Genomic DNA, 20,855 nt, shown 5'->3' on the forward strand with positions numbered 1-20,855 from the left:
ATGGAAGAACTGGTGGAAGTTTACACCAGTTCTGATTACACCTGTTTTCTCAGGGAAATAGCTGAGAGTAAGGATAAGTGAGGAGATGTGAAGAAAGTAAAAGAAAAATATGAAAGAGTTTGCTGGATGAGTGGGAGAGTAAATAACTAGGAAAATATGTTTCTTATACTTAGAGTCCAGTGATGACTGAGGTAACTTAGAAAAATGGGTCAAATTAAGTAGTCCAAGATTATTTTTTATTATTTTGAAAACTTAATGAAAACTAGGGACCTTTTTCCAGAAATACATATGTGTATATACACACACATGCAAACACACACACACACACACACACACACACACACACACACATATAATACTTTCAGAGCATTCACCAAATCTTACATGCCCATGCATGAAATTTCACAGTGCTCAGCACCTGCTGTTTAAGATCCTTACTCCAGAATAATGTAGTGGTTGGAGTCATGTGGAGACCACCCTACAGCTTGGGAAAATGGTATGTAGAGTACATTTATCAGGGGTGAGATAATAAAGATCTGGATTTAGACTGGTGGAAGTGAGAAAGAATAGAATTTGAGTCTAGCGCCCACTGCTTTAGGGAAATCTGCATCAGCAAACCACTGAAATAAAATGCTTGTTGGGACATGAGTTTAATTCCGGGAAGAGAGGAAGTGTCAAAACCCAGATTTGCTAGGGTAATCCTGAATTGATTAAGATGATTATAAAATTGACTGAAATTATTTTTTCAGTATTTTTTTAACATAAGGGCTGTTTAGGATACAAATTAATTTCAGTTATAAAAATTCAGCCATATTGCTGCATACATGAGTTTGAAGTGAGACTAAGATTAATGCCCTCTAAAATTATGTTAGAAATCATTCTCTATAGATCTGAAAATAACATTCTATCTTCTCCTTTCCTTTCAGTAGATACACACAAAATCTGCCAAAAAAAAAAAAAAGGAGAGACATAATATTCCTGGAGTTTCTCAGGTTTAATATGGTATATTGAGCTCATGAACATGTCTCCCTTTCCTTGCCAAAGAAATATTGTCCCATGCCATCAAAACAAGAAAAAGGGAGCCATAAATGGTCAAGAGATTACAGTACATTTCTGGGGAAAGACGGGCGGTGGATTGAAGAGCGGATCCAGGAAATTGACAAGGCAACTTCAATGTTGAACTAATGTGGACAGTTTGTAGCAGATTAACTGTCCTATGGAAAAGCTCAGATTTGACAAATACAAGTAGACATTTCTTCCTGATATTTCTGGGAGAATGTACACACTTTCACAAGTTCTGAATCCCAAAAGAAATCAGTTGCAAAATCAGGAATGCAAGAATTAAAGCTTAACATTCAACGTAAAAGCGCTACTCATTTGGAGGCATCCTCTTGTGTTGATTCGCTAAGGTTGCCATAACAAAGAATCATTGAATGGGGAGCTTAAACAACAGAAATTTATTTTCTCACAAGGAGGCTAGAAGTCTGAGATCAAGGTGTCAGCAGGATTGGTTTCTTCTGAGGCCTCTCTTCTGGGCCTGTGTCTTCACATAGTCCCCCCTCCATGTACATCTGTTCTCAAATTTCCTCTTCTTATAAGGACATTAGTCATACTGAATTAGTGTGCTCACCCTAAAGACCTCATTTTAATTTAATTATTTCTTTAAAGACCCTATCTCCAAATACATCCACATTCTGTGGTCACATTTTGTAGGGTTAGGACTTTAACATATAAAATTTAGGGGGACCCAATTCAGCCCATGACACTATTGATGTCAAGTCAAAAGTAAGAGCAGGAAACGCTGATTGGTGGAGTTGCCTTTTTTTGATGTTTTTTATTATCAAACGTCTTTATCAGGAAGAAATTATTTTCACATGTTATTGAAAGATATTTCATCACAATATATGAGTATATAATAACAAGCCATGTATTTATCATGCTGTTTTTGTTACAGAAAATCTCTGAAACATTTAGTGTGATCCCATCACAGAAAAATTTTCATGGTTGCAGTTTGATTATTTTTATTATTTTAAAACATATAAATAATGTGTTATGAAAAATGCAAAACTACTTATAAGTTTGGAAATTCCTAAGAATTCCTGCCAATTCTGATTGACCTTTCCTGAATACCAAAGATTAATATTTGTCAGGAATTTGGAAACACTATAACTGAGGGCAAGCTTATGGAAGGGCCTGAATATAGGGGCATACACTGAAGGCTTACATACAAGATTATTGATCTCCCATTCCTGCTACAGAATGCTGAAATTCCTGGATGATCAGAAGAAAAATAATTACAGAGTTATTCTCTAAAGAAATGGGGTTGGGGCAGAGGGAGTAGCTGCCATGGGAGAACTAGGATGACAATTGTGAGAGTCGAACCCAGAGTTAAGCCTTTGTCTATGTGGGGTCACCCTGGTTGCATCGGGCTTCCTACACCTGCTCAGCCTAAAAAGAAACCTGCCTTTAAATAACTTCATCCACATGGAGAAATCCCACATGTCGTAGTCAGACTTTCTAGCTCCCCCTCCCCTTCCCTCCCCTCCCCTAACCTCCCCTCCCCTGACCTCCCTTCCCCTCCCCTCTCCTTCCCCTCTCCTTCCCCTTCCCCTTCCCTTTCCCTTTCCCTTCCCTTCCTTTCCCTTTCCATTTTACCCAAGAGATTTTAAATTAATGGTGGAAGGGGCTATCATAAATGGTGTCTATGACTGAACAACCAAAGATGTCCTGGCATTTGAAGAAAACTTAAAGAATATGTAGTGAAAAGAGATGCTAGATAATAAAAGATAAAGTCTAACCGAGAATGAATAATATTGCACGTATAAAGCAAGAACCTGATGCAGTGTATTAGTCAAGGTTCTCTAGAAGGAGAGGACTAACAGGATAGATGTATATATGAAAGGGAGTTTATTAAGGAGTATTGACTCACATGATCACCAGGTGAAATCGCACAGTAGGCCATCTGCAAGCTGAGGAACAAGGAAGCCAGTCCGCATCTCCAAACCTCAAAAGTAGGGAAGCCAACAATACAACATTTAGTCTGTGGCCAAAGGCCCAAGAGCCCCTCGCAAGCCACTGGTGTAAGTCCAAAAAACTCCAAATGCTGAAGAACTTGAAGTCTGATGTTCAAGGGCGGGAAGCACCCAGCAGTAGGAGAAAGATGAAGGCCAGAAGACTCAGCCAGTCTTGTCCTTCCACATTCCTCTGCCTGCTTTTATGCTAGCCACGCTGGCAGCTGATTAGATGGTGCCCACCCAGATTAAGGGTGGGTCTGCCTCTCCCAGTCCACTGACTCAAATGTTAATCTCCTTTGGCAACACCCTCACAGACATACGCAGGAACAATGCTTTGCATCCTTCAGTCCAATCAAGTTGACGTTCAATATTAACCATGACATTCAGGAACAGAGAAAAAAAGCTCATGGAGTTTAAAAACTGCCTAAATTAAAATAAAATTTAATTTAAAAGTATGTCAAAATGAAACAAATTCTTAAAGTATTAGAGATAAAGTAGAGATTAAGTCATAGAAAATCAATAGAGGTCTTGGATTTGATAAATAGAAGTTTCAGAAAAAGAGAATGGAGAAGAGAGGGGAGAAAATAAAGAAATATCAGAAATGTAATGTTACCTTCCCTAGATTGTACTTCATGTGAGATCTGGATGCACGCTTATTTTATTCATGAATGAATGCATGTTGCATACTATATTAACTGTTTCAGGTGTTGAATTTGTAAGTTGGAAACTACGTTCTTTGGTGAAGGACACCAAATTTTCTTTAATAATCACTTAAGATAACCAAAATGTTTCTAGACATCTTAAATGTGATTATATTTTCAATATCTGGGAAAGTAAATTCTAAATACTTAGTTTTCTAACACATCTGAAAGGATTAAGGTGAATCTATCCATTTTAGTAATCAAAGTTACACCTTTTCTTCTATACGTTTTTATGTAGCAGATATAATATATATGACTATGAATACTACTGTATTCTGTATTAATATTAATACTAACACATACACACATACACACACATGTACACATACACACTCTGGTTTTGGGCTTCAGAAGCAGAAACTATCTTACAGGATATCTCAAAGATAGATACTAAGAGTTCTATAATCGTGTCTATGAGTTCCTAAGACCCTTAGAGCTGCACATTTCAGTAGATCTAGATTTTAGAAAAATATACTCTAATTACTTATTTCCCTATTCTTGTTTGGTGTTCCACACTCAAATGGTCTCCTAGCTGGTTAACTGATAACAGCTGCAGTTTTTGGAAAGGAGAAAGAGGGAAAGGATACATGAAAAGCATCTGCCTTTTCACAAACCTCTGTTAACAGCTTTTTCTCCCTATTAGAGAGAAAACATTTCCTTGGTCCTTCTCTTTTGCCTTATGTAATTGCAAATCTCTGGCAAGATGCATCTCTTTTCAGACTTTAACTTGTCTCATTTTTCCCCCACACAATTGTGCTCTTTCTTTTCTTGTTCCTTGGAAACTCGCCCTCGTTTCATAATTTTGCTTCTTCCCCCTTTGCTGTTCTGTTCTCTACAGAGTTACGGGTTCATTCTCTCGGGTGTCTTATTCTGCCTCATGCCCTATCTACATGTTAACCTCATCTGTTCCAGAGACAGAAAATGGATCTAGATCTCTCCAGATTTCCTTTTGTCTCTTAACTTTTCTTTGCATGGGATCTTAGACAGATGCATGACACTTGTTAAAGTATCTTTCTCAATTTACATTTCATTTACCTTTCTGCTTTAAAAACATAGAATCTTTGAGCTAGCAGTTGCCATTATCTGTAAGTTTGTAGTTGATGTCTAAGGAAATTACTATGCCATTATTCCTAATTTTTCTTCAAAGACATTTCCCCTTACCTTGATTCTTATAAAGAAATGTTGGCTATACCCTTATAAATTTGGGTAGACATTAATGAAATAAGGATTTGGAGCAACAGGCATATGCCAAAAAAGAGAGCTTATCATAGAAGGGTAAATCTGAAATTGTGTGTAGGTAGTGAAGATAAGACTAATGGAAGAGAACTGTGAAAATTCCCATTTTAAGATCTTAGGTCTCATGAGGACTCAAACGCATGAGAATGATATAATGGACTTTGGGGACTCGGGAAAGGGTGGGAGGGCATGAGGGATAAAAGGCTACACACGGGGTACAGTGCACACGGCTCAGGTGAGAGGTGCATCACAATCTCAGAAGTCACCACTGAGGAACTTATCCATGTAACCAAAACCCACCAAAATTAAATTAAATTTCCCAAAAACTATTGAAATTTTAAAAATAAATAAATATAAAAACAAACAAAAAGAAATAAAAAAGAAAAAGAAGTGAATCTTGGTTTTAAAAAAAAGATCTGGCCGGGCACAGTGGCTCATGCCTGTAATCCCAGCACTTTGGGAAGCCGAGGCGGGCGGATCATGAGGTCAGGAGATTGAGACCATCCTGGCTATCACAGTGAAAACCCGTCTCTACTAAAAATAAAAAAATTAGCCGGGCGTGGTGGCGGGTGCCTGTAGTCCCAGCTACTCAGGAGGCTGAGGCAGGAGAATAGTGTGAACCCGGGGGGAGGAGCTTACAGTGAGCCGAGATTGTGCCACTGCACTCCAGCCTGGGCGACAAAGCAAGACTCCCTCTCAAAAAAAAGAAAAAAGAAAAAAAAAAGAAAAAAGATCTTAGCTCTTGTTGAGCAGCTGCTTATAGGAGAGCCTGGGCTGAGAATATACCTGAAAAGTAAAGGAAAACTGTAAATAAATAAAAGATGATATTAGAAGTTGGGTTATATGTAGTGGTTATAATGACAATATTTTAAAACATTATGATGAAAGTATATAATGATTTTTACAAATAAAATATAAATATTTTACTTCCCAAATTGAATACAATTTACTAAATTGTGGGACATAACTACTAATTTGTTTCTAATTGGAAAATGTTTGGAAACTAAATAATAATGGAAATAATTTGTAGTGAAGTGATGTTGTATGGATTATACTAATTTAGTGATGTTGCAGGTGGAAAGGTAATTCAAGCTACCAAGGTTCACACTTCCTTTTGGGAAGTACTAAATAAGTATTGATGATGCAAGATGTATTGGAACAAACGACAAAGTATAAATATCATTTTTCTTTGTCCCGTGACTCTCAATGGGGCATTAACAGCAGGGGCTAAAAAGGAGAGGCTATTTCTCAACAGTCACTCTCTATGTACGTAGCCAACAACTTCCGTCCACCATTAGCTTGAATAAACTAGAATATTAATGTCATTAGTCATCATGTATTTGTGATAAGAAAAATTGCTAATTAGTGACTCTCCTTAACAGTCCGTATTATCAGAAAGAAAACATGACTCTAAAAGGACGGGTGATGAATAAAGAATACATGCAAATATTCTCTGGTTTTCCTAGAACTGGGAGACGGCCACCCCATGTGACTCAATGGCTTTGGAGCATGAAGATGAAGGTTTAGATTCCTCCCTTTTTGATAACTTCTAATGTCACTATGCAGTCTCATGGGAACCCAGGAACTCATTCTCAGGTTTGCAAATGAAGCCTCTGTCTGTAACTATAAAAATGAAGCATCAGAATAGAACTGAGAGCCCAAGTCTGTTACAGAATCTGGTGAGGTTCACACCAGAGCAATCGAAGTGCCCACACATACGTTGACATGCAAGTCATAGGTTGATGCAATTTTCATACCTACATTATTGTTGCCTGATATGGGTGGTGAGTTGCTACAAGACAGAACAGAGGCTCACCTTCCCCCCAGAATTAAGGAGTCACAAGGATATCAGCCTCACTGCCTGGAAGATACAAAAATGATTCAGCTTCAGGACATTGAATTGAGTGTTTAAAAACTGCATGGTACATCTACAGTCCCAGACCGGCTGAGAAGCAGGATTCACTTTTCCAGGAATCAAACACTCAGGGTATTAAAGCAGTAGCTGGTTTGCATCAGGACTCTGTCCCGAGGGCCCTCTGCAGCCCAGGAGCTGCCCAAGTCAGGGTTTGCCTTTGGTCTCACTTGGTTCAGTGACCTTTCTTTCCTTTGGTCCATTTGCCAGTACAGGGCCAGCATCTCTGCTTTGAAGGGGGTTGAATGGCCTCAAGAGCCTGCCTCAACCTTGGTCAACAGTTCATTTCTGCTCAAGCGCCAAACTGCAAAGGTCAATTGCTTACCAATCTGACCCACAGACCAACTCAGAGACAGAAATAGCTCTTCCTAGTTCCAGGAAGGGTCAATATTCACTAAAGCACAGTGCATATGGACCCTTGGTGTTTATTTTTTCCTAAAACATAGCCACAGGAGTTCACACAATAGGTCTCTGTTCCATGCTTACAGTGCCCATATTTCTTTAGCTATTTTTCATGTGTAATCCCAAAGATGCTTGCAAGGAAATCACAGAATAAGATTTGAGGAAAAAAAAAATCAGTAAGTCCACGTGTTAAATTTATAATTCAGCTCAGTTAAAAAGGAATCCGATCACAAATTGTAACCATGATTCAGAGCACAGAAAATTGTTTTGGAATTTGGATTACTCAATGTGAATTCATCCTGCTCCCTCTCATTTTAATAAACCCATTTCAATTCTTAAATTATTAGTAGGACAAAAATTAAAAGAAAGAAATGTTGTGGAAAGTATGTGGAAAATAAGATGTTAAAACTATTTTTTAAATATGCTTTGCTGCAGGCAAAACCCAGTGTTCTCATCAGCTTAGTGTATTAAAACCTCATCAAATTCCAAATTCCCTATTCCAATAAAATAATGTAAGAATTACTTAACTTCGTTAACTGGTCCAGATAGCCACCAGAATTTAGAGTTGCACTTCTATGGATACTGCTACTGTTGAAACTGTTTCTTAGTTTATCTTTTCAGATGATTATGACAGCCTTCCTTCAAAAAGTAGTTCATTAAGAGAGGAGATTAGAAAATATAAAGGAGTTGGGAAAATCGTGTCAATAATTGGATCTCCACAGCTACTGTAAGCCCCTTGCCTGTCTCTATTACTCTCTGAGGCTACTCGAGAATGTAGAATTACATACAATATTTCCCATATTTCTTGTCTAGAGGGGGGATGTAGTCTACAAGCTACAACTGAATTGCTGGGTCTCTATAGCCTAGGAGAGGTGGGAGTGGTGAAGGGCTGGCTTTGGAATGCGGTGTTGTGGAGATCACAGCTCACCTAGCCAGCTCTCTCACTGTGCCCTGAGCTGGGTAAGTCAGTCTTACTGCCTCCTAAGTGCCCTCAGCAACTTGAATGGAATCGTTACCTTCCCATATACAAGAGGACTGACCAGCTCTCTCAGATTCTCATGCCCTGAGGAAAGCTTATGAACCTCCAGAGTCCTCCCTCAGCTGGAGGGCCCTTTTAACCTCAGCCTATGCAGAGACAGATTTATTCTTTCCGGTTTACCTCTTACTAGACCACTAGTGTCTGAAGGAAACCACTAGCCAGACCTCCAGCATTGAGGGTGTCAAACCCAAATGATTTCAAGAGTCAGGTCATTAAAACACATGCGAGAGAATCTGCACACTGTTCTATCATAAGACTGGTAGAAGTTTTGATCTGTTGGAGAGGAAATCTCCTATATAAAGCCATATAATTTTTTTAAAGTATATTTTGACCAAACAATCCAAGTATTTGGGCCAAATTTAGGTCTAGGTGTTAGTTTATAACTCCTGAATTCTATTATAAACTGACATTACTAAGAATAAGGATACAGCAAATTAGGATTATACTTTCAAGAGTAATGAGCAGCTTGAAAGAGGAAGATCTGGTTGAAAAATCAGATTAAATGAAAGAAACAGGAGATACTATGATGGGGGAATTCAGACATATAAATATAGAAATTTATAACATAGGATTTTATCTCAATGAAGTTTAAGGCAGCTCCCAATGGAAAGGCCACGGTATGAATTTAAGATATAAGTGTTAGAAGTTAGAAAATATTAATATTGTCTTTTGATGAAGAGATACTTCCATTTTGACAACTTCAGTTTATTAATTTTCTATTCTATGGTTAGTTTTTGTTGTGTTTTTTTTCCTAAGAAATCTTCACCTGTCCCAAGGTTGTGGAGTGTGTTTGCATGTAGAAGTTTTATGGTTCTACATTTATGGTTAAATTTATGATCTCAAATTAGTGTTTAGAAATGGAGTTAAGTAGTAGCAGTTGAGGCTTTTTCCCATTGAACATCCTGTTGCCTTAATATTTGTTAAAAATATTTTTCTTAGCCTGGCATGGTGGCTCACACCTGTAATCCCCTCACTTTGGGAGGCCGAGGCAGGAGGATCACTTGAGGTCAGGAGTTCGAGACCAGCCTGGCCAACATGGTGAAACCCCATCTCCACTAAAAATATAAAAATTAGCTGGGCATGGTGGCACACACCTGTAATCCCTGCTACTCGGGAGGCTGAGGCAGGATAATTGCTTGAACCTGGGAAGCGGAGGTTGCATTGAGCCGAGGTCGTACCATTGCACTCTGCACTCCGCACTCCAGCCTGGGCGACAGAGTGAGACTCCATCTCAAAAAAAAAAAAAAATTCTTTTGCTCATTTAACTGACTTGGCTTCTTGATTTAAAAAATATCAATGGACAGTATATGTGTGGGTCTCTTTATGGCTGTGTGTTCTCTTCTCTTTATTTAGTTATCTATACTAATCCCAGTGCCACAGTGCTTTGACTACTGTAGCTTTATCATAAGTCTTGAAATAATGTAGCAGGGGTCTTCCACCATTGCCTTCTTTTTCAATAATGTTTTGGTCAGTCTAGGTCTTTGGCATTCCATATTCATTTTAGAATGAGTTTGTCAGTTTCTTCAAAAAACAAAGCACCATTCACTTTATCCCATCATCAATATAGTCTTATAATTGCAGGAGTAGGTGCTGGAGCTGGGACTTAGCTTTTAGGTAGCAGCCCCAACAAAAGAGCATGTCAGGGGTTTTCGTGGAGAAAGAAAATGTCTAAATGGAAGGGTGAGACAAAATTAGAGGCACCACAAGACGTGATATGAGAGGAGACATGAACAGATTCCTGAAAATTGGCTTTACCACTCACCAAGCCCTCACTGGAGTTTCAGTGACTTTATAAAAGAGCCACTGGTACTCCAGACACCGAAGGAACAAAACACAAACAAAAGAACAAAGAAATACAATGATAATAGTACTTGTTCCCTTCTCCAGGATAAGATAACGTAAAATGTCAGTTCAAACACAACTTGCAGGAGAACTACACATTGTGAAAATCAGACACTAAAAGGGTGAGTGCAGAGATGCCTGTGGTCACTCTTTGACTGCTGTGGAGAAATAAACAGCTTCAAAGGAAAGAGCCGCTTGGCCGGTGATACTTGACTTACGTATCATTCTATTGCCAGAGGTGACCACCTAGCTGATTAATAACCTCTTTTGCTCTCGAGGAAATCCTTACGTATCCTGAAGCTATCTTTAACTTGTTGTAGATTTTACAGCATTTGGCACTGAACTCTATTATAGTCTCAGAAGTGGAGGCAATTGGTAAATAACTTTTGCACAGCTGTGGTATATAGTCCCACACACCTCCACCTAGGATGGTAGTTACTATTTTAATTGACAGAGTCCATAGGTTTCTAGGGCTGTTTGAAGGTGGTGAGAGGATCTTTTGATAATTTAAACTAGATCACCTTGAAAGAAGTATAGGTAACTGGTTTTGAAAATGTGTCAGGTGCAGTGTTGTACATTAGACCTACTGAGAAATTATTACAAAAATAAAAATATAAAGCCAGGCGTGGTGGCTCATGCCTGTAATCCCAGCACTTTGGGTGGCCGAGGCGGGCATATCATGAGGTCAGGAGATCAAGACCATCCTGGCTAACACAGTGAAATCCCGTCTCTACTAAAATACAAAAAAAACTAGCCAGGGGTGGTGGCAGACACCTGTAGTCCCAGTTACTCAGAAGGCTGAGGCAGGAGAATGGTGTGAACCCAGGAGGTGGAGCTTGCCGTGAGCTGAGATGGCGCCACTGCACTCCAGCCTGGGCAACAGAGCGAGACTCATTCTCAAAAATAAATAAATAAATAAAAATATAAGAAAAGATGAAAACTCGAATGAAGGCAGTGACAGTGGAAATAAATAAAAGACAGATATTTAGAGATATTAAAGTGGTGGCCGGGCATGGTGGCTCACGCCTGTAATCTCAGCACTTTTGAGGCCAAAGCAGGCAGATCACCTGAGGTCAGGAGTTCAAGACTAGCCTGGCCAACATGATGAAACGCCGTCTCTACTAAAAATACAAAAATTAGCTGGGTGTGGTGGCACGTGCCTGTAGACCCAGCTACTCGGGAGGCTGAGGCAGGAGAATTGCTTGAACCCAGGAGGTGGAGGTTGCAGTGAGCGGATATAGCGCCAATGCACTCCAGCCTGGGAGACAGAGCGAGACTCCATCTCAAAAAAAAAAAAAAAAAAGATATTAAAGTGGTAAAGTCGACACCACTTGATGATTAAAAGAATGTGGGGTGAGGGAAGGAGACAGGGACAAATTTCTTAATAAGAAATATCATGTACTGAATAATTACCATGCACCAGGAACATTGCTTTACATATACTTTGTATGTAATTGTAAAAATCCTAGAAGTAGGTAATATTACCAACCCAGTTTAATGAAAAAGAAAATAGAAGAGTACCGAAATTAAGTAACAATTCTAAAAACACATTGTATGCAAGAGAATTTGTAATCAGACGAGCTAACTCCCCAGCTCTTGCCTTTGTCTACTAGGCTACATAAACCATAGATTTCTGGCCATTGGTGGGTCAGGATGGTGGTACCAATAGCAAACATAGGATGAGAAGGGTTTGGGGAGAAAGATAATGGCTTCAAGTGATGAAGAAATTGAAATTTGAAATTGAGGTGTATAGGGTCTCCACGTGGAGATATCTAGTAGCTCAGAAGAGATAACTTAGCTGAAGTTATAAATGTTGGATTCATATGCTTATAGGAAAGAGTTAATGCTATGAAAACTGATGAGGTATTACAGGAAGATCCAGCTAGTGAAAGAAGAAGTTTAATGCTGTGAATTGGTAACACCAGCATTTAAAGGACAGAGGAAGAAGACTAGATACTTTGTTTCCTCATAAATCATAAATGTACCACTCCATGAACTTTCACAAAGTGAATATGCCCAAATAACAGCATCTAGATCAAGAAAGAGGCCATTATCAGCACCCTACTTGCCCCATTTCAAGTAATACACATCCCCAAGGGTAACCACTGCACTAATTTCTAACAATATAGATCAGTTTGCCTGATTTTGAACGTGACATAAATGGAATTCCACAGTAAATGCTCTTTTGTGTCCAGCTTCTTTGACTCAGCATTGTTTTAATTTATCCATGTTAATTCCCATTGCAATAAAGAATTCTAGTCTGTGGCAGACACACCCTGAAGGCCCACAATGAGCCATGGCCCCTTCCCTCAAGTGAGGAAAGACCTGTGACCTGTCTCTAACCAACAGGATATGTCAAAGAAGATAAAGTGTCATTCCCATCCTGCTGGCCTTGAAGAAGCCACCAGCTCTGCTGTAAATTCCCCAAGGAGAAGGCCATGTGGCAGGGAACTGCAGGCTGCCAGTAAGAAGCCAGAGCCCTCAGTCACACAGCCACAAGGAAGGGAATTTTGCCAACAGCCTGAATGCACTTAGATGCAGATTCTTCCCTAATAGAGCCCTCAGATGACAGCACAGCCTGGCCAGCACCTGAGCAGAGGAACCAGTTAAGTTGTGCTAAGACTCCAGACCCATGGAAACTATGGATAATAACTGTGTGTTGTTTTACTATTCACAATAGCAAAGACATGGAATCAACCCAAATGCCCATGAATGAGAGACTGGATAAAGAAAATGTGGTACATTTACACCACAGAATACTATGCAGCCATAAAAGAAATGAGATCATGTCCTTTGTAGGGCCATGGATGGAGCTTGAAGCCATTGTCCTTAGCAAACTAACGCAGGAACAGAAAACTAAACACTGCATGTTCTCACTTACAAGTGGGAGCTGAACAACGAGAACACATGGACATAGGAGTGCGGAACAACACACACTGGGGCCTATCAGGGGGTGCAGTGGGAGGAGGGAAACTATTAGGAAAAATAGCTAATGTATGCAGGGCTTAATACTTAGGTGATGGGTTGATAGGTGCAGCAAACCACCATGGCACACGTTCACCTATGTAACAAACCTGCACATCCTACACATGTGCCCCAGAACTTAAAATAAAAATAAAAAATAAATAAATGTGACTTAGTTTGAGGTAATTTGTTATACAGCAACAGAAATCAAATATATACTGTATAAATACACTATAATTAATTTAATTTACCAATTATTAATAAATATTTCAGTAGCTTTCCATTTTTGTCTATTAACTGGTGATGCTATAAATATTCTTGTGTGTGTATGTGTGTGTGTGTGTATATATATATATATATATATATATATTTGTGGGGGTGTTGTGTCAGTCAAGGTCCACTCAGAAAACAGAAACAACAAAATAATTTGAACAGGGAGGTTTCATGCAAAAAAAAAATTATTGACTATTTGTAGGGGATTAACTACTAAAAAGGGGATAAAAGAGAGCTGTACAAAGTCCCTAATGCAAAGGGAGACAAAAACTTGGAAGAGGGCCCCTCTCTAAGGATGGGATTCAGATCTCAATGGAGAAGATGAAGTTAAAACCCAGTGGAGGCTGAAGTTAGCCGAGTTGCCCCAGGCCTGAGCTGCTCCATTACAGCAGGTGGAGGCCAAGGACTGGGACTGGGAAGCTGGAAAGCTCCCACTGGGGTGCTGGTGGGCAGAAAACCCCCTGCTGCAGTGCCTATGACATTTATGAAGAATTTGGAGGGAGGTGAAATTCTCTAGGAAGTAGGCTTGGGTCACTGTAGGACTTACTGGGAAATCACCCACAGGAGATGCTGGGAAGTACCCATGGGGACGTCATTGAAACCAGCTGGTGGTGAGTTCCACTGGGTGTCCCACAGCCTAGCCTTGCACTGTAGGAACAAAAACAACAACAAAAAAAGCAGGCACTTTACGGGAAGAATCTTCTTCCTGCAGCATCCCTTCCAGACCCTCTAACGGCAAAGGAAGAATATTTAGTAACTCCAGCTCCAGTATCCTCAGCAGGGCAATGAACACTGGTTTTGTGGCTGAGAGACAATAAACTGACAACTGGTACAGGTGTACACCCATAAGAGACTCGTAATCTTTTTATCCTCTTTTAAATTAGTGTGAAAGTATGAAATAAAAATTATTTAAAAATTTTATGGCCAGGCGTGGTGGCTCACACCTGTAATCTCAGCACTTTGGAAGGCGGAGGCGGGAGGATCACGACGTCAAGAGATCCAGACCATCCTGGCTAACATGATGAAACCCCGTCTCTACTAAAAATACAAAAATTAGCCGGGCGTGGAGGCGCATGCCTGCAGTCCCAGCTACTCAGGAGGCTGAGGCAGGAGAATCGCTTGAACCTGGGAAGCAAAGGTTGCAGCAAGCTGAGATCGCACCACTGCACTCCAGCCTGGCAACAGAGTGACTCCGTCTCAAAAAAAATAAAAAATTACATCATAATGTCTTATCTTTACCTATGTTAGACAAAATAAAGACAACAGCAGAAATCAATAAAGTAGAAAATAAGGAAATTATAGAAAAGATCTACCAACCTCTTTTAGCTCTTTGAAAATATTAATGAAGTTGAAAAAAGAACTTTGGCAAAATTAATCCAGAAAAGTACAAAGAAGGTGCAAAGGTATACACCAAAATATTAAGCATGAGAATGAGGAACTAATTGCACATGGAGAAGAGATTAAAATGTAATAATAAACTAAGGAGATCATCTTTTATGCCAAAAAATTTGAAATTATAGGCACAATGAAAAATATATCTGAGTAAGAATAGAAAGAGTAAATTACTTTACAATTATTAAGGAAACTTTATAAGTTGTTTAGCATTGCTGTGGACTGAATGTGTCCTCTTAAATGTCATATGTTGGAGCCCATTGTGACAGTATTTGGAAATGGGGCTTCTGGGAAGTAATGAGGGTTAGATCAAGTCATGAGGGTGGGGTCCTCATGATGGGCTGGGCCCCCATAAGAAATGACACCAGAGAACTTGAGCTCTCTCTCTTCCTGCCACGTGAAGACACATTAAAAAGACTGCCTTCTAGAAGACAGGGAGGAGCCCCTACCAGAAACCAACCATGCTGGCTTCAGGATCTGGGACTTCTAGACTCCAGAATAGCAAGAAAATAAATTTCTATTGTTTAAGCCACACTGTCTATGGTGTTTCGTTCTGGCAGCCTGAGCTGACTAAGACAAACATAATTTCACAAATGAGACCCCAGATGCAGTGTCTTGTATATTTATTTATTTTTATTTATTTATCTATTTTTTTGAGACGCAGTTTCACCCTTGTTGCCCAGGCTGGAGTGCAATGGCGCGATCTTGGCTCACTGCAACCTCCGCCTCCCAGCTTCAAGCGATTCTCCTGCCTCAGCCTCCTGAGTAGCTGGGATTACAGGTGCTTGCCACCATGCCCGGCTAACTTTTTTGACATTTCTAGTAGAGACGGGGTTTCACCATGTTGGCCAGGCTGGTCTCAAACTCCTGACCTCAGGTCATCTACCCGCCTTGGCCTCCCAAAGTACTGAGATTACAGGTGTTAGCCACCGCGCCCGGCCTCTTGTATATTTATATCTGACCAAACATTTAAGGGACAGATTAGCTCAATCTCAGGTACGTTTCCAGGGAATTGAAGAAGGATTCCTATCTAACTCGTTCTATGAAGTCAGCATAACGTTTGATGCTAAAACTAGATTAAAAAACGCATGAGAAAGGAGTGCTACAGGCCAGTCTTACTCATAAACATAGATGCAAAATCCCAAATAAAATATTTTAAAAATTACTTTTAATTTTTTTTGACAAATTGTAATTGTATAGAATTATGGGATACACAGTGATATCATGACATATGTATGTTGTGCAATGATTGAATCAAATGAATTAACCTACCCATCTTCTTAAATATTTATTTCTTCCTCCTGTTTAACTGTGACTTTCTATCCTTTGACTGACATTGCCCCATTCCACCACCCTTATCCTCTGGTAATCACCCTTCTACTCTCTGCTTCTATGAATTCAATTGTTTTAGATTCCACATATAAGTGAGAACATGTGGTTTTTGTCTTTCTCAGACTCACTTACTTTACCCAGTTTAATGTTCTCCAGGTCCATCCATGCTCCTGCAGATGAAAAAATTTTCTTCCTTTTTGTGGCTGAATAATATTCCATTGCATATATAATATGGTTTGGCTGTGTTCCTACCCAAATCTCATCTTGAATTGTAGCTCCCACAATTCCCATGTCATGGGAGGGACCAAGTGGGAGGTAACTGAATCAGGGGGCGGGTCTTACCCCATACTGTTCTCTTGGTAGTGAATAAGTCTCACAAGATCTGATGGTTTTATAAGTGGTTTCCCTTTCTGCTTGGCTTTCACTCTCGCTTTGCCTGCTGCCATGTAAGGCGTAACTTTGCTTCTCCTTTGCCTTCCGTCATGACTATGGAATTCCCCAGCCATATGGAACTGTGAGTCAATTAAAACTCTTTCCTTTATAAATCACCCAGTCTCAGGCATGTCTTTATCAGCAGCGTGAACATGGACTAATACAGTATATATACCACATTTTCTTTATCCTTTCATCTGCTCATGGACACTTCAGTTGATTCCATAACTTGGCTATTGTGAATAGCGCTGCAATGAATGTGGGCGTGCAGATATCTCTTCAATGTAGTTTCTGGATTATATGGTAATTCTATTGTTAGTTTTTTGAAGAACCTCCATGCTGTTTTCTACAATGGCTATGTTTACATTCTCACCAACAGTGTGTGTAATCTTTGTCTTTTTAATAAGACATTTAATCACCATTTCGATGGGTATGAGATGATATTTCACTGTGGTTTTAATCTGCATTTCCCTAATGATTAGTGATATTGAACATTTTTTCTTGCTTGGTAGAAATGCGTGGTTGAGGTTTGCCTCTTCATCTGGGAAGAGCTTTAGGGTGAGCTTTGAGGGTGCACTGAGCCATTGTTTGAAAGCCTGGATGGTACAAGTCTAGTGCCTGAGCTTTGCTAAAAGGGGCCTTGAGGCTGAGGATGGAGCCTAGCCATCTAGGAACTCAAGCCAGGCCAGCCTCTGTGGCTCACATCTACAATCCCAGCACTTTAAGAGGCCCAGGTGGCAGAGTTGTTTGAGGCCAGGAGTTTGACACCAGCCTGGGCAATATGGTGAGACCTCATCTCTACAAAAAATAAATAACCGAGCATGATGGCATGTCCCTGTGGTCTCAGCTACTTGGGACGCTGAGGCAGGAGGATATCTTGAGCCCAGAAGTTCCAGGCTACAATGAGCTATGATCATGCCACTGCACTCCAGCTTGGGTAACAGAGGGAGACACTGTCTCTAATAAATAAACAAACAAACAAAGACTCAAGCCTAGTTAATGTGCTCTGGGAGCAATCAGCCTGGCTCTGCTTGTGGGCTGTGCTGTTGGCACCTCTAATCCGCACCTCTGCTGGCAGTAATATGGAGCTACCACCAAGATCTGGGTGCAGGTCACTGTGGGCAGTGCCTCCTTGCTTTGTTTCTATCTGACCCTGGGCAGTCTGGTCATGTCTTTCTCCCCTGTGTTCCCTGTGTTCCCCATGAGACAAGATCAAAGTGGGCCTTGGCTTGGCGGGAGGCTAGGGGACCTGGATGTGAGGTTTTGGTTCTCTTTTCCCGCTGTTGGTCCTCTGTGTGTGGTGCTGCATCGACTTGGAGGATGTGGAGAGGCAATACCTGTCTAATGCTGTTCTTATTCAGTTCCATGGTCCATTCAGGAGTCTCAAGCTTATTCTCAAGTTTTGAGATTTTCACCAAGGTGTTCTTATCAGTGGATAGTTGTAGTTGAGCTTTCTATGCGGGGGAGAGCAGCCTGGGACCTCCTATTCTACCATCTTCCCCTGAATATCCCAAACAAAGTACTTGCAAACCAAATTCACCTGTGTTTCTAAGATAACACGAATTGATTAAGTTGGGTTCCCAGGAATTCAAAAGTATTCTAATGTTAGCAAACCTAAAAATGCTATTCATATTAGCAGATTAAAGCACATAAAACTATATGACAATAGGTGCACATATTTCAGTACCCATTCATGGTAAAAAAAAAATTAACAAAGTAGAAATATATAACTTGGTAAAGGTTTATACCAAAAAATTACAGCAAACATAATTTTGAATGGGAAAACATTAGAAGTATCTCTTTAAAAATTAAGACTACGTCAGAGATACAGTTGTTTTTTCTATTCAACTTTGTACTATAGGCCCTAGTCAGAGAAGACAATAAAAGTAAACTCTTGTATATAATCACCAGCAGATATGTACATGAATATTCCTAGCAACACTATTTGTAATATCTTCAAACTGGAAACAGCAAATAATGAGAAATATGAGATTTAGATATTCTTTACTGCCCTAGGACCCTTGTATAATTTAATCTGTATGTAACTTTTCTGGTTATGTATAGATCATGGTATCTTTTTCTTGTTTGAGAGGGAGAGATTTTTTTCTTTTATGCATACACCACATTGCTTATAATTTAAATCAACATATTAAGTATTTAAAAATAATTAGCAAATCAATAGCAGTAATAATTACTTATAGAAGAGTTAATATTTTCATATTTTATGTAACATTATATATATATTTACAGTGTATGTTTGTGAAATTATCATGTAACATTTGAAGCCAATCTTATTTTTGAAGAATTGTATTTAATATTTTCTGTTCTAGTAACCAGTTTCACATTATTCTAATTTATCCTTCTGTGAATTTTTGAGTGTAATATAGATATTTTAAATGAAATTAAATATAAACATATGTGAATATCTTTGGACCTTTATAGATGTATGGGTTTAAAATTACTCACATAGAAAAACATAATGATGCCCAAAGGGAACATAAATATTGCAGATCATAAGTAATTACACTCTCAAATGCTCATGGAATTGTTAATCCTATTCATGACTAGCAATTCACTCACTAAAATTTCCAATTCATTGTTTACACTAGTGAACTATTACAGTGTTGCCAACCTGACAACTTAACATTGTCAAAAACTTAGCTGATTTTAGTTGACTTGTATGTAGGAAGGCTTAATGCAATTTATGTGCAATGAAGATATGGTACAAAGCCTAAGAAGATATGAAAAATAACCTGCTCTTGGAATGATTCACCTTATTTTCAGTGGACAGCTGAAACCCAACTGAGACCACAATTTAAATTGGGAAATAATTTGTTGTTAGTTTCTACTCCCGGAGCCAACAGCCTACCTAGAGCCACCCTACTGGGCATTCATCAGTTATATTTCTTGGTCGACAAGCAGAGTGTAGTAGAGTTCATTTTGAATTTAATTTCAAACCCCATGGTCTTAACCATTTTCCCATTCCTTTCTGTGGCCTCTTAGTTCATCCCTGAGAGTTAGAGACTTATGTTTTTATGAGTGGTGATGAATGCTTAGAAAAAAATCTGGGGACATTTAGTAGAATCCTTCAGGCCCAGCACTGACTGAGTTGACAGAAGCCTCTTGTTTTTTAATTGCTCTGGGACTAGGGTTTTGAATTGTTGGCCACAGCAAAAACTTTGGTTCTACCTCTGAAATCTGATTCCAGAAAGGAGGAGAGAGAAGAAAGAAGAAATGTTACACCAAAATGTAAACTCTATGACAGCAGAATTTTTTTTCTTTTCTTTTCTTTTTTTTTTTTTTTTGAGACAGAGTCTTGCTCTGTCGCCCAGGCTGAAGTACAGTGGCATAAACTCGGCTCACTGCAACCTCTACCTCCCAGGTTCAAGCAATTCTCCTGCCTCAGCCTCCCGAGTAGCTGGAATTACAGATGCCCACCACCACACCTGGCTAATTTTTGTATTTTTAGCAGAGATGGGATTTCACCATGTTGGCCAGGCTGATCTCGAACTCCTGACCTCCTGATCCACACACCTTGGCCCATGGTGTTTCAAGCCTGTAATCCTAGCACTTTGAGAGCAGAATTTTTAAAAATCTCCTTTGTTCACTAATATATCCTGAGGGCCTAAAATAGTGTTAACACAAAGTTGTTCTGTAAATATTTGCAGAAGGAATGACAGAAGAAAGAAAAGGAAGAAAGAGGAGAGAGATACCTGGGTGACCAGGCGTTCCTGTGACAGGCCACCATCTGCCTGGCTCTCCTGCGACTCTGTCTGGTTGCTCGCCTCCAGTGCTTCAATTCTCTGTCCAAACTTCCTGACTTCTAAAGCTGCAGCTTTCTAAGGCCACTTGTCTCGCCCTTGGAGGATGTGGCTTCCTGCTTTTAAAAGGCACTTTTTAAGCACCCAGTTACCTACTGAGGGTGAGACAAGCATCGGGTTTGCCCCACTTAACAAGCTATTTTGAATATATGGAATATATTCAGCCTTAAAAAAAGGAGATTGGAAATTGTGGCACATGCTACAACATGAATGAACCTTAAGGAGGTTATGTGAAATACACCATAGTCAAACTCATTGAAACAGAAAGTAGAATGATGTTTGCTAGGGGCTTGGAGGAGAAAAAAGTGGAAAGTTGTTGTTTAATGAGTAATAGAGGTTCAGTTTTGTGAGATGAATAGTTCTAGAGACTGGTTGCACGACAATGCGAAGGTATTTAATATATTACTGAACGGTACAACAAAAAACATATCAAACTTCTCATTGGGTCTGTCGGAGAAAGTCACATTAAAAACAGCAAGCTGAAGTCAAGCCAGA

The 20,855-nt window shown here is 39.5% G+C and overlaps 1 long non-coding RNA gene across 6 annotated transcripts in view; it reads right to left on the reverse strand.

Moving 5' to 3' along the window:
• LINC02840 (long intergenic non-protein coding RNA 2840) overlaps window positions 1–20,855 on the reverse strand; it is a 121,122-nt gene that overhangs the window by 8,183 nt on the left and 92,084 nt on the right. For 3 of the 6 annotated variants that reach the window (NR_183508.1, NR_183507.1, NR_183510.1), the window contains one exon: window positions 2,930–3,004. The exons of the other annotated variants lie outside the window; for them this stretch is intronic. This is a non-coding gene — a long non-coding RNA (long intergenic non-protein coding RNA 2840). The remainder of the gene's footprint in view (window positions 1–2,929; window positions 3,005–20,855) is intronic. 6 annotated transcript variants of the gene reach the window in all.

The sequence above is a fragment of the Homo sapiens genome, chromosome 6, assembly GCF_000001405.40.
Source record: "Homo sapiens chromosome 6, GRCh38.p14 Primary Assembly".
In the NCBI taxonomy this organism is placed as follows: Eukaryota; Metazoa; Chordata; class Mammalia; order Primates; family Hominidae; genus Homo; species Homo sapiens.